Source organism: Homo sapiens, chromosome 2, assembly GCF_000001405.40.
Source record: "Homo sapiens chromosome 2, GRCh38.p14 Primary Assembly".
NCBI lineage: Eukaryota > Metazoa > Chordata > Mammalia > Primates > Hominidae > Homo > Homo sapiens.
Window position 1 is genome coordinate 69279556 of NC_000002.12, and position 14356 is coordinate 69293911.

General features: G+C 41.7%; 1 long non-coding RNA gene across 1 annotated transcript, besides 1 other annotated feature; it reads left to right on the forward strand.

Annotated features, from left to right (window-relative positions):
• Positions 239-740: an enhancer, noted in NCBI's record as "NANOG hESC enhancer chr2:69506926-69507427 (GRCh37/hg19 assembly coordinates)". NCBI's record gives its function as "activates a minimal SCP1, AML or CMV promoter by ChIP-STARR-seq in primed H9 embryonic stem cells {active_cell/tissue: H9 hESC(primed)}" and the evidence as "EXISTENCE:reporter gene assay evidence [ECO:0000049][PMID:30033119]".
• On the forward strand, positions 7266-10321 carry LOC124907821 (uncharacterized). Its single transcript, XR_007086810.1, has 2 exons — positions 7266-8628; positions 9940-10321. It is a non-coding gene; the product is annotated as an uncharacterized LOC124907821 (long non-coding RNA).
• The last annotated feature ends 4035 nt before the right edge of the window (positions 10322-14356 follow it).

The window sequence follows — 14356 nt, forward strand, 5'->3', positions numbered from 1 at the left end:
GATATAATTTACATACTGTAAAGTTCACCCATCTAAAGGGTACAACTCAGTGGGTTTTAGTATATTCACAGAGCTGTGCAACCATCACCATAGTCTAGTTTTAGATCATTTCATCATCCCGATAAGAAACCTGATACTGCTGTTTTAATAACAAGCCTTGTAAGGCATGGTAAAATAAAATAAAATAAAAACTAAATTAAAAGAAAGAAACCATTAAGAGTGGTTTCCTCTAGGAAGGAGAACATGGGGTGGTTGGCGATGACATGAGAAATGGAAGTTTTCATTGTTGGCCTTTCTGTAATATTTTCTGCTTCTTTAAAAACCATTTATGTGTGCTGTTTTGATTTTATAATTTTCTTTAAAAGTTATAACAATTCCTTAAACACAAACTTAATGGGAAGTCAGGGATTACATTAGTGGCAGTGTTCGCCAAAGACCTTTGGAAGTTGAAAGTGCTCTGCAGATTTGAGGAACTGTTGTCATTCCAGCATCACAGCAGGGGTGGGGAAGAGATCACACAAGGTCAGCAACTTGGGAACTGGGACATAGCCACATAACACCTGCTGGAAGGTAGCCACCAGCTGGGATGATGGGGCTGTCCCCACAACAAAGGCCCCTTTTTGGAGATCCCTGGGGCTCAGGAGCCAGTGAGTCTGTCTTTGGGGAAGATAAGGCAGAGGGCCAACCCTCACGACCCACGAGTGTGGCATGTCCATGACCAGAGACCAAGGCCAGGCTTGCGACATGAAAAGGTGAGTGTCAATGACCTAAGTATTAATAGAGAACTGCGGCATCATCTCACCCAGAACCATCTCTCCCCACATAGCAGGGTCCACTTTTCTTGAGATTAGGTCCGTTTTATGTTTTACATTTCCCTTCACTTTTCAGAAAAATGGCCCCAAGTGGGACTGCCTTTTTTTAATTCCAAGGAACAGCACCGGCCACATCAGCACTGTTCTCGCCTCTGCCTCCAAGCTCTGTTTCTCATCTGGCTGCTGAGAGAAGTTGCTGTTGCTCTGCCAGCAAAATGTCTCTAGGAAGAAAGGAATGGAAAATATGAGGAAATTTCCTTACAAAATCTCAAAGAATCCTCGCTCAGCATAACCAGTGAGAATTAGCTGCACAATGAACCACATCGGAAAAGGCGATCATAATTCCTCAGTGCCTGATGCCCACCCAGATTTACAGCAGGACCGCTCTTTGTGGATCCACAAAAGGTTTCCACGTTGAGGGAGAGCTTCCCAAATGGGACCGAAGACATGAATCTCATAGGTGAGGACCCTCACTGGGGAGTCCTGATGGAGAGATGGGACCAGCCACCCTGGAACCTGAATAAGGAATTTGAAGACTTGGACTTGGGGCTGGAAATGGTAAGACTGTTCTCAACCTTCGGACCCTGACAGGGCCTGCCCAGTCATGACCATCTCACACTTGTCCCTGGTGTAAGCCCCACCACCACCTGTTCCCAGGCTGTCAGAGGCACAGTCTTTAGGAACCCACCAGGGGTATAACAAATACACCCCAGCAAAGCTTGTCTGTTTTTGTTTCTTTGTTGTTTTATTTTTGTTTTTTTGAGACAGAGACTCACTCTGTCACCCAGGCTGGAGTGCAGTGGCACAATCATGGCTCACTGCAGCCTCCACCTCCTGGGCTCAATCCTCCCACCTCAGCCTCCTGAGTAGCTGAATACAGGCATGCACCACCATGCCTAATTAATTTTTCTTTTTGGCTAACCATCTTTCATTCTTTTAATTTTTTATAGTACTTTCAGTTCTACGGTACATGTGCACAATGTGCAAGTTTGTTACATATGTATACATGTGCCATGTTGGCGTGCTGCACCCATTAACTCATCATTTACATTAGGTATATCTCCTAATGCTATCCCTCCCCCAGCCCCCCACCTCCTGACAGGCCCTGGTGTGTGATGATCCCCTTCCTGTGTCCATGTGTTCTCATTGTTCAGTTCCCAACTATGAGTGAGAACATGCGGTGTTCGGTTTTCTGTCCTTGCAATAGTTTGCTCAGAATGATGGTTTCCAGCTTCATCCATGTCCCTGCAAAGGACATGAACTCATCCTTTTTTATGGTTGCATAGTATTCCACGGTATATATGTGCCACATTTTCTTAATCCAGTCTATTATTGATGGACATTTGGGTTGGTTCCAAGTCTTTGCTATTGTGAATAGTGCCACAATAAACATACGTGTGCATGTGTCTTTATAGTAGCATGATTTATAATCCTTTGGGTATATACCCAGTAATGGGATGGCTGGGTCAAATGGTATTCCTAGTTCTAGATCCTTGAGGAACTGCCACACTGTCTTCCACAATGGTTGAACTAGTTTACACTCCCATCAACAGTGTAAAAGTGTTCCTATTTCTCCATATCCTTTCCAGCACCTGTTGTTTCCTTTTTAATGGTCACCATTCTAACTCATGTGAGATGGTACCTCATTGTGGTTTTGATTTGCATTTCTCTGATGGCCAGTGATGATGAGCATTTCTTCATGTGTCTGTTGGCTGCATAAAAGTCTTCTTTTGAGAAGCGTCTGTTCATATCCTTTGCCTACTTTTTGATGGAGTTGTTTGATTTTTTCTTGTAAATTTGTTTAAATTCTTTGTAGATTCTAGATATTAGCCCTTTGTGAGATGGGTAGATTGCGAACATTTTCTTTCATTCTGTAGGTTGCCTGTTCACTCTGATGGTAGTTTCTTTTGCTGTGCAGAAGCTCTTTAGTTTAATTAGATCCCATCTGTCTATTTTGGCTTTTGTTGCCATTGCTTTTGGTGTTTTAGTCATGAAGTCTTTGCCCATGCCTCTGTCCTGAATGGTATTGCCTAGGTTTTCTTCTAGGGTTTTTACGGTTTTAGGTCTAACATTTAAGTCATGCCTAACTAATTTTTAAGTTTTTTGTAGAGACATGGTCTCACTACATTGCCCAGGCTGGTCTCAAACTCCAGTCTCGAACTCCTGAGCTCAATCAATCCTCCCACCTCTGCCTCCCAAAGTGCTAGGATTATAGGCATGAGCCACTGCACCTGACCTGCATTATTTTTTTAACCAGGACAACTGAGTAAAAGCTCTGTTATGAGAATGGGACATAGGAGAGGTAGATTTTGACTGGGAGGAAAGGAAAACCCAATAAGAGATCTTACATGGAGGGCAGCCCTGATAAGGAAAGGTGGGACCCTGCTTTGGGCAACACTAAGTGGAGGAAATAACTAGAAGGAAATGGAACGTAAGTAATCCAATGCAGTAAATAACCAAGAGAAAAAAGAAAATGATGCAATGACTGACAGCTCATTTTTTCTTTATTTCATTTCATTCATTGACAGCCATTTTACTTGGAAATAAGAAAATTTATATGGAATATAAATATGCAAGTGAAGTACTGAGGATGATTTTCAGAACCTTCTTTGTAGATAATTACACCCAGGTGAGCCTCTTCTGAATGTCACCTTGAATTATAAATGCCTCCCTCTCTTCTATCCTCTTAGGCAATGAAGATACATGGTGCAGAAGTTTTGAAATCAGCCATATCTGGCTGAAAGTCCTGAATCTGCCATTTAGTGGCTGTGTGACCTTAGGAAAGTCATGCCACCTCTCTGAGCTTCAGTTTCTCCATCTGATTCATGGTAGTAGTAATGACAGCTAACACTTTCCTGATCATTTTCTATGAACCAATGTTGTAAATCGTCTACATCGATCAACTCTTTTCAACCTCATGACAAACTCATCATGTATATTGTTATGGGTTGAATGGTATTTCCCAAACATTTACATGTTGAAATCCTAACCCCCAGTATCATAGAATGTGGACTTATTTGGATATAGGATTGTTGTGGAAGTAATTAGGTAATTTAAGATGACATTTTACTAGAGTAGGATGAGCCCCTAATCCAACATGACAGGTATTCTTACAAAAAGAGGAAATTTAGGCTGGGCGAAGTGGCTCACGCCTGTAATCCCAGCACTTTGGGAGTCTGAGACAGGCGGATCATGAGGTCAGGAGTTTGAGACCAGCCTGGACCACATGGTGAAACCCTGTCTCTACTAAAAACACAAAAATTAGCTGGGCATAGTGGTGTGCACCTGTGATCTCAGCTACTCAGAAGGCTGAGGCAGGAGCATTTCTTGAACCTGGGAGGCAGAGGTTGCAGTGAGCTGAGATCATGCCACTGCACTCCGGCCTGGGCAACAGAGCAAGACTCTTTCTCAGAGAAAATTAATAAATAAAAAAAAGAAGAAATTTGGACACAGAGACACACACATAGGGAGAATGCCATGTAAAGATTGAAACTATTTTGCCACAAGCCAAGAACTCCCAGAAGCTAGGAGAAAGGCCAGGAACAGGTCTTTCCCTGGTGCCTTCAGAGGGAGCACAACCCTGCTGACACCTTGATCTTGGACTTCTAGCCTGCAGAGCTGAGACAATAAATTCCTGTTGGTAAAGCCACTTGGTTTGTGGTACTTTGTTATGGCAGCCCTAGCAAATACGTACAGTCATGCATGGTATAACAGCATTTCCATCAATGCAAATCACATATTCAACGATGGTCCCATAGATAAACAGTACCATATTTTTACTGTACCTTTTCTATGTTTAGATATGTTTGGATACATAAATACTTACCACTGTGCTATAACTGCCTACAGGATTCAGCACAGGAACATGTTGTATAGGTTTGTAGCCTAGGCATAATAGACTATACCGAATAGCCTAGGCGTGTAGTAGGCTATACCACCTAGGTTTGTGTAAGTACACTCCTTGATGTCCATGCAATGGCAAAACCGCCTAATGACACGTTTCTCAAAACATATCCCCTTTATTAAGCAACCTGTGACTATAGAGTCAGCCCTCCTTTTCCACAGTTCCACATTTGCAGATTTAATTAACTATAAATCAAAAATATTCAGAAAAACAAAACAATAAAAAATACAAATTTGAAAAACTATACGGTATAGCAAGCACTTATGTAGCATGTACATTGTATTAGGTACTATAAGTAATCTGGAAATGATTTAAAGTATAAGTGAGGATGTGCATAGGTTCTAAGCAAATACTAAGCTTTTGTTTTAAATTTGAGACAGAACCTCCTCTGTTGCCCAGGCTGGAGTGTAGTGGCACAATCTCAACTCACTGCAACCTCCACCTGCTAGGCTCAGGCAACCTTCCCTGCCTCAGGCTCCCAAGTACCTGGGATTACAGGTGCTCACCACCACACCTGGCTAATGTTTGTACATTTAGTAGAGATGAGGTTTTGCCCTGTTACCCAGACTGGTCTTGAATTCCGGGGCTCAATCGATCCAACTGCCTCAGCCTCCCAAAGTGTTGGGATTACAGGCTTGAGCTACTGTGCCTGGCCTAAGCCATTTTATATAAGAGACTTAAGCACTGATAGACTTTGATATCCATGGAACCAATTTCCCCATAAATACTAACGGACAACTGTATGTATATGTGTGTTATTACATTTCCATTTTACAGATAAGAAAAACAAAATGCAAGAACTTAAGGTCACACAGTAAGTAGGTGAGCTGAGAATTAAACATGATCAAAACCTTTACCTTAACCCTTATATTACATGGTAGTGGTACTTAATAGGATTGTCATAAAGACCAAGTGAGATAATTCATGCAAATATTTAGCTCTGTGACTAGCACATATTAAGCACTCAACAAATTTAGCTACTATTGTTTGTTGTGGTGGTTCTGTATCCAGAATTATACATTTAATATTCATCACAAATTCTTCAGTTGAGGTCCTATTATTCCTATATTATAGATTTTTAAAAAGACTCAGAATTAATGATGTGACTGGGATTTCAAAGCAAGTTCTTGCTCCAAAAAACTGTCTTGTTCCAAATCCAAACTAAACGACCCCTATTTTCTATTTATTAATCTCCTTCTAACTCTATTCAAGAAAAGAATTTCAATCTGCCCTTGTTGGAAAAATTCCAGCCAAGCTCAGGAGCTAGATTGTGGTGGTTCTTTTGGAGGATTATGATGAGAGACAGGTGAAGAGGGCCCCACCCATGAGATGAAATGGATCTGGCAGGCCTTGAAGCTGCTTGGATCTCTGCAGGCCTAAGTACTAGTTTACATGGATTATAATAGAGCTAGGCCTGGCTAGAGGACCCTAACAAATGATATAAACTAAAACCCATTATGCCACTAAAAATAAACTACCGAATTGAGTCAGAGAAAAATCTCTCCATTAAACAGGGCTTGATGAAATTCTAACAAAAGTTCACACACAAGACCCAAAGACACAAGCAATAAGAAAAAGATAAACAAATTTGACTCAAATCGAATTTTTTAAGTATTTTTAAGCAGAAGATGTAACTAAGGCATCCTAGGCAAATGCAGCCTGGAAGTTGGCATTCACAGTGAGTATAACCGACAAGGAAGTGGTATCCAGAAAAACGTCTTTAAAGCTCCTACAAGTCAGTAAAAATAAGAAAAACTGCTCACCAGGAAAAACTGGGCCCAGATGTTCAGGCCTCCACCATAAGATCACAGGAAGGTTTGCATTTCACATCCTGTTTCTCAAGAAATATGGCCTACGCTTCTGTATTAGTCCGTTTTCAAACTGCTATAAAGATACTACTCAAGACTGCATAATTTATAAAGGAAAGAGGTTTTTAATTGACTCACAGTTCCACTTGGCTGGGGAGGCCTCAGGAAACTTACAATCATGGCGAAAGGGGAAGCAGGTGTGTCTTACATGGCAGCAGGGTAGAGAGATAGTGTGAGAGCGCAGGAAAAGCTACCATTTATAAAACCATCAGATCTCATGAAAATTCACTCACTATCACGAGAACAGCATGGAGGAAACCACCCCCATAATCCAATCACTTCACTCCTTCCACACATGGGGATTACAATTAGAGATGAGACTTGGGTGAGGACACAGAGCCAAACCATATCACCTTCAACTGAGCAATCTGCTCCTAGGTGTACATACCCTAACCTTCCAGGAGACATGAATCAGAATGTTCCCTGCAGCATTATTTGTAATAGTGAGCAATAAAAACACCTAGATGGATAAACAATTGGTGGCATATTCACAAAAATGAACTAGAGATAGTGGTATCTGCATGGATACATCTCATAAATATAATAGTTTAAAAAAGCAAATGGCATTTATTGTGGATCACGAGGTCAGGAGATCGAGACCATCCTGGCTAACACAGTGAAGCCCCATCTCTACTAAAAAAAATACAAAAAAATTAGCCGGGCGTGGTGGCAGGCATCTGTGGTCCCAGCTACTCGGGAGGCTGAGGCAGGAGAATGGCGTGAACCCGGGAGGCGGAGCTTGCAGTGAGCCAAGATCGCACCACCACACTCCAGCCTGGGCGACAGAGCGAGACTCCATCTCAAAAAAAAAAATTAAAATTAAAAAAAAAATAAATTATTCTCCAAACTTTTAGTAAGTCTGACATTTTTCATAATTAAAAAAACATAAAATCTTTTCTAATGAGAATTGTAGGGCCAGAGGCACAGAGGGTTCCTGGGGAAAGAATGTTCAATAAACAGCAAGCAGCAACTTTTTCCTGTGTCAAGTCTATTGGTCCTGCCAGGTGCCAGGAGCTGGAGGGTGATGAAAATGTTCAGACTCATTGCTGCCCTCAGATGGCTTGTGATCTAACTGGGTAAGAATCAAATCAGTGGCAATGCCAGTCAGGAGTGAAGCAACAAGGCCACAACAATATGTGGCAGTCACTCACCAGCCACCAGCCCACAGGAGCAGAGGCTCCTGGGACATCTGGCCACAGAGAAGTCAACACAACTGGCTCCTAAGCTGCAAGCTTCTTGAAGACATCTGAGTCCCTGTTCCCTCCCTACCCACATCTCCATACTTTTTATGGTTGGTTACATTTTTTGTTTTGTTTTGTTTTGTTTTGTTTTAGAGACAGTGTCTCGCTATGTTGCCCAGGCTGGTCTCAAACTCCTGGACTCAAGTGATCCTCTCTCATCAGCCTCCCGAGTAGCCAGGATTACAGGCAAATGCCATGCTGTTGGTGAAATTTTGTTTAATTTTTTATCTTTAATTATGATATATTTCAAGCATATGAAAAGGCACAGATGTAATGAACACCCGAGGACATCCTAGACAACAGATGTTAACATCATTTGCATTTGTTTTGGATATATTTTGTAATATATCAACATAGATGGAGCAAATCCTCACACCCTGACCCCAAGTCTTCCCGTTCCCTCCCACGCCGAAGGGAACCACTGTCCTAACACTATTTATCTCTCCCATGCATACTTTTGGACCTATAAACACAGAATATTGTAAGACAATGTAGTAAAACAATAGATTTCACACTTTTTACCACACTCAATCCATGAAAAGCATTTTATACTTTGACCCTGTAAACATGCACGCACACACACACACACGTGCATGCATATACGTAGACATATATACCTGTGTATGTGAGCGCATATGTAATCTGAAACAAAATTTTCATGAAATAACACTCTTAACTACTTGCGGTACATTCTGATTTTTTTTTTTTTTTTTTAAGATGGAGGCAAGAGAATCATTTAACCCGGGAGGCTGAGGTTGCAGTGAGCGGAGATTGCACCACTGCACTCCAGGTTGGGTTACAGAGTAAGTATCTTCCCATTTTCATGAAGTCAAATTTATCAAATTTCTTTTTTGCCTATGCTGTCCAGTTTAAAACATTTTTCCATATCCTGAAGTTGTAACAATTAGTCTATATTTTCTTAACATTTCAAAATTTTACATTCTATAGATTTTAATCCAGCTGGAATTGTGTATATATGCATGTGCACACATGTGTTACGTATAGTGAGGTGGGAATCCTATTTTTTCTTTTTTCATAGTTTATTGTTCAAGACCAATTTATTATTCTTTCTTCATACTGCTTTGAATGCTACTTGTGTCATAAACCAAATTCTTAATATACATAAGTCTTTTTCTACACTCTCCAGGCTGTCCCATTGGTAGCTTTTACTATTTCTATGCCAATATTACACTGTTTAACTTTCTATAGCTTGCAAAATTTTTTGAAATCTGAGGGCGTATTTCTCATTATCAGCATTATTATGATTAAGATTTTTGAAATTTATAACTGTTTCCTCTTTTATATGAATTTTTGGACCTATTTTGTCAAGTTCTGTGAAAAACTCTCTTGGACATTTTTGTTAGAATTGAATTAACTTTAATTTGATTTGGACAAAAATTGACATTTTATGTACAAAGACTTTTTATCCATGAATATATTTTGTCTCCCAACTACCTGGTCTTGTTTCATGTCTTTCAAAAAATTGTTTTCACCTTTTCTTTAAAGGTCTTATCCTCATATTTCTTTCTAGAAGTTCATAGTGTTTTTATTTTTTATTGATATATAATAGATGTGCATATTCAGTTTTTGTTGTTGCTATTGTTGTTTTAAATGTATTTTAAGTAAATTTTCTAAATTTTGCTACTGATTTTTTTGGTTTTATTGTCATTGTTGCTTTGAGACAATGTCTCGCTCTGTCACCCAGGCTGGAGTGCAGCAGTGCAATCACAGCTCACTGCAGCCTTGATCTCCTGGGCTCAAGCCATCCTCCCACCCCAGCCCCCTGAGTAGCTGGGACCACAGGCACATGCTACCATGTCTGGCTAATTTTGTTTTGTGGGTTTTTTTTTTTGTAGAAACGGGGTTTCACCATGTTGTCCAGGCTGGTCTTGAACTCCTGGGTTCAAGCAATCCACTTTCCTCAGCCTCCCAAAGTGATGGGATTACAGACGTGAGCCACTCCTAGCCTTTACTGATTATTTTGTATATTGCTCATTTCCAGTAACCTTACTAAACATTCTTGTTATTTCTAATATTTTACCTGTAGGTTCTCATAAATGTTCTATTTTGGCCATCAAATAATCTCAAATAATGATAATTTTTTTTCTTTTCAGCTTTTTCTTTTTTCTACAACCATGACAATCCCAACTCAGCTCATAGGGACTAACAAGAAAGTGGACTCTACAGTCTCTATAGCAACACTGGAGTGGAGGAGGCAAGCTAACTCTAAGTTGTTATGTTGATGGTGGCTGATCATCAGGCATGTTTAGTACCAAAGTTCTCGAACATGTATGCTTGAATGTACACCCTACATGATTTCTTTGTAATGTTCTTTTTCCATCCCATGACTCCACCCAAATTCTCCACTCACTATCTCCCACTGTATGGTTTTATGGGGCTGCTCATCCAAGGACCGTACTGGTACAGTATTCTCAATTCCTTCCATTATCATATTGTTATAATAAAAATGTTATTTTTGTATCCTAGGTAACCCAATTTGGTGTCTGCATTGTTTTTCCTTCATGATAATCCTAATGCCAGCTGGCATATTTTATAAGGGTATATAAACTGTACTAAGTTCAGTGGGCTGACATACGCAAGAACAAGATGTAAGCATTCTGTTTTCTCTTTCCAAGACCTGTATTTTGGAATTTTTTACTTTGAGTTGCTTTTTTTAGGGACTGGTGGAGGTGTTGTTGAATTGTTGGTGTTGTTGTATGTTTGTGTTTTATTTTGGTGACAACCTGTTATCCTCAGTTTTAGTCTACTTATTTCTGAAATCTGAACATAAACACAAATATGTTTCATTGTCAGTGTTACTCCCATTCCTTTTCATAATGTATTATTCTTTCATTGTGGCTTTTTTGTTTTTTATTTATTTGTTGAAACAGAGTCTTGCTCTCTTGTCCAGGCTGGAGTGCAGTGGCACAATCACAGCTCCTTGCAGCCTTGACCTCCTGGGCTCAAGCGACCCTCCCATGTCAGCCTACTGAGTCGCTGGGACTACAGGTATATACCACAACACCAGCTAGTTTTTTATTTTTTGTAGAGGCAGGGCCTCCATATGTCACCCAGACTGGTCTCAAACTTCTGGGCTCAATTGATCCTCCTGCCTCCTGCCTCAATCTCCCAAAGTGCCGGGATTATAGGTGTGAGCCACCACACCCAGCCTGTGTATCTCTTTAATCATTTAAACATCCCTATCTTTGATGGTCTCTTTCAAATTGTTTTTCTATGATCTAGGGTTTGAGGTTGCTGACCTCCCTACAAGTGTCTGAAAACTCTTGTTTATGGTGGGTCTATCAGATATATTGTAATTTTTTACTGAACGCTCATCTTCAACTGAGCTTGATTTTTCGATGGAAATCTTTTATGACCAGAGTGATTTTCCATCTATGTCAGCATGTATCCTCAGCAGTAACATACACAGGCCCACTCTTCACGTGCATCTCTTAATTTATGATGTTCATAACTCACAGACAGTATAAATTCAGTCTTCCAACCTCTCAAAGCATATACTTGGGATTTTACTTTCTCACAAAAGGATTTTATTTTTTCACCCAGAACCTAAGCACAAGCAAACTTTCTTGGCATCTTCCCAATTCAATGGGTGGATTTTTTATCCTAGTCCCTCTTTCCCTAAGAGTTCAGTCCTGCAATTGCTCCAGGTTTTGCTTTCTTGTTTAGGCTCCTGCATGGCACTAGCCCAAGCCTCTGATTCTCATCTCTGCATGGACCTTACCCCAGCCTAATAACAGCACAGACACATCCACACCCCAGGTCTGCTGTGGAGCTGCTCACCACTTCCAGCTATGTTTTTCCATTCCCTCTTCAGTCCCAGCAATTGGACTAATTTGGTTTCCCTTCATCCTGCATTTCTGTGTGTTTGGAGTAGGAGGGTTCCACATTAGTCTGCTCCTCTCCAGCCCCATTTTCCTCCTCAGAGGCCCTCAAAACCAACCAGGCCTTAAAACCTCTGATAGAAGCCAGAATCAGATGCCTGTGGGGTCTAGGGTAAACCCTGCCTGCAGAAAGTATCTCCAGAATTTGGCTGAAATCTTTCTGGGAAGAAGAGACTGAGCTTGTTTGATTATTAACTGGACAATTTCTGCTTAACAACTACCTTTCTGTTCTTGTGCTGGAACAGAACCAGAATGCTTCTTCCCTGCCAATTTCAGGGGATGAGATCATCTTTGCAAGGCCCTTGGAGAGACATTAAGTCAGGGATCTTTTCAAAAGAAATGCATGTGGCATGTGAGATTTGAAAGAACTATGGGTGCTTTCCTTGAAAAACAAACCCAATGGGGTTTTGTTGTTGTTGTTGTTTTGGGTAGGAAGCTTCCCAGTTTTTTGTTTCTGCTTTTAAATAAAAGTAGCAATAAGCCAGGGAGATTGGCCCTTTGTGGAGGGAACACATATCTACATGGGTGCAGGTGAAGAGTCACAGCTGAATACTCTGGCAGTGTTTGAAACTGTTTCTTTCAAACAGGATTGGTGTGCAAAGTCAAGAGGAAAGTCAGCAAGTATCTCAGGAAAGGACAGTCATGGAAAACAGAGCCCAGATTTTAAAGTCCGTGAGGGAGACCCACACCGTACAGACTCTCTAAGTAATGGCTTTCTTCCACATAGACGTGAATGTTTAAAGGCCAGTGAACACCACCCCTATGCACTCAGGCCTAAGCTTAATCAGCCCAAGGCTAAGTGTGCAGAAATCTCCTTAATAGAATTCCTGGCTTTAGATTTACTGACATCTTCCCTCCATGGTCTTGTGCCAAGGAAAAGTTTGGGTAGTCTGTCATCCACACCTTGGTGTGAATTTAACCCAATGTATTATTTGTCCAAAGATGTTGTCTTTTGAAGATTATAATCTCAGTGAGATAAAGATTTGCCTAAAATTATATGGTGCAGAGCAAGACCCTTCAACTCCAAATCCCAAGTTCTTTCCTTAGGAAGAACGGGATGGAGCCTCTTCACTGGGCTATGAGGTCCAGCCAAGCCTGCAGTCTCATGCTTTCTCAGACTATGGGTATGACTGCTCTGAGCAAGCAGTGATAATAAACATGCCCAGGGTCGATTTCTGCCACCTCAGCCTCTGAATTCACATCTCCCACAAGTCACTTCTTTCCTCTAAGGGATTTCTACTTCATGATAAAATGTCTTTAGGGAACCATTAGCGAATTCCTTGCTATCCCTTAGGGACCTTTCAGCATCCCAGGGAAACAACCAAAGGAATTTTCCTCAAACAGTTTCATTCACATCAGTCCAAATCCCAAGGTACTAAACTCTCAGGAGGGTGTTAATCTCACGAAGAGCTTCTATAAAGTTGCTGGAACCCCGTCCACAATTTCTGCTGATGGGTGAGTCTATGGGCCCATGTCTGTAACGCATGACCCCACACTCCGGCCAGAGCTGACCGAAACCTGAGTGGAAACCTGGCCCAGGAGAAACAAATCCACTGGTTGGCCTGAGCCACTTAGATTCTCCCTCTCAAAAGAGAGGCCCCGAGGATAAGATGGAGCGAGGCACTGGATCTGGAATTCCATGTCATGCCAGAGCCAGTCATGTCATACCAGTGCCATGGTGAACTGAGCCAAATGCAAGGTGCAGCCAGATGCCCATACACCTGGGAAGGCAGGCCGCACCTCATCCTGAGGTCAGCCAGAGCCAGCAGGCAAACCACATGAGGATTCACATGCTTCATCCTGCACCAGATACCAGGTAGGAACAGAGGAGGGCCAACACAGAGATCCTGGAGGACGAGTAATTACCCCATAAAGGCAAAGGCCCTCACAATTACAATGCATTTGGTGTTGACGGCTGCCACAGAAGTGGTTGTGAGGGCAGAGGGAATGAGCAAATGCATGAAGGGTAGCCACATGGTGAGAGCAATTAGGAACCATGTAACATGGTGTCTTAGTCTGTTTGGGCTGCTATAACAAAATACCATAGGCGGGGTAATTACTTATGAACAACAGAAAATGTATTGCTCACAGTTCTGGAGGCTGAGAGGTCCAAGACTGTGGCACCAGCAGACTCAGTTTCTGGTGAGGGCTCTCCACGTCAAAGACGGCATCTTGTTGCTGCGTCCTCACATGGTGGAACAGGCGAGGCAGCTCCCTTCAGCCTCTTTTATAAGGCCTCTAACCCCACTCGTGAGGGCTCTGACCTCATGACCTAATCACTTTCCAAAAGGCCCACCTGTTACACGATCGCATTGGAGCGTGGCTGCCGACACGTGACTTTTAGAGGCACATCAAATTCAGGTCATAGCGTATGCAAAAGACCACCTGGCTGTCACCTCACTTTCCATTTTTCTCCAGATACTTCTTTTTTATTTTTGAAATAGGGTCTCTCATTCTGTCACCTAGGCTGGAGTGCAGTGGTGCAATCACAGCTCATTTGCAACACTGACCTCCCAGGCTCAGGTGGTCCTCCTACCTCAGCCTCCCAAGTAGCTGAAACTACAGGCGCACGGCACCATGCCCAGCTAATTTTTTGCATTTTTAGTAGAAATGGGGTTTCACCATGTTG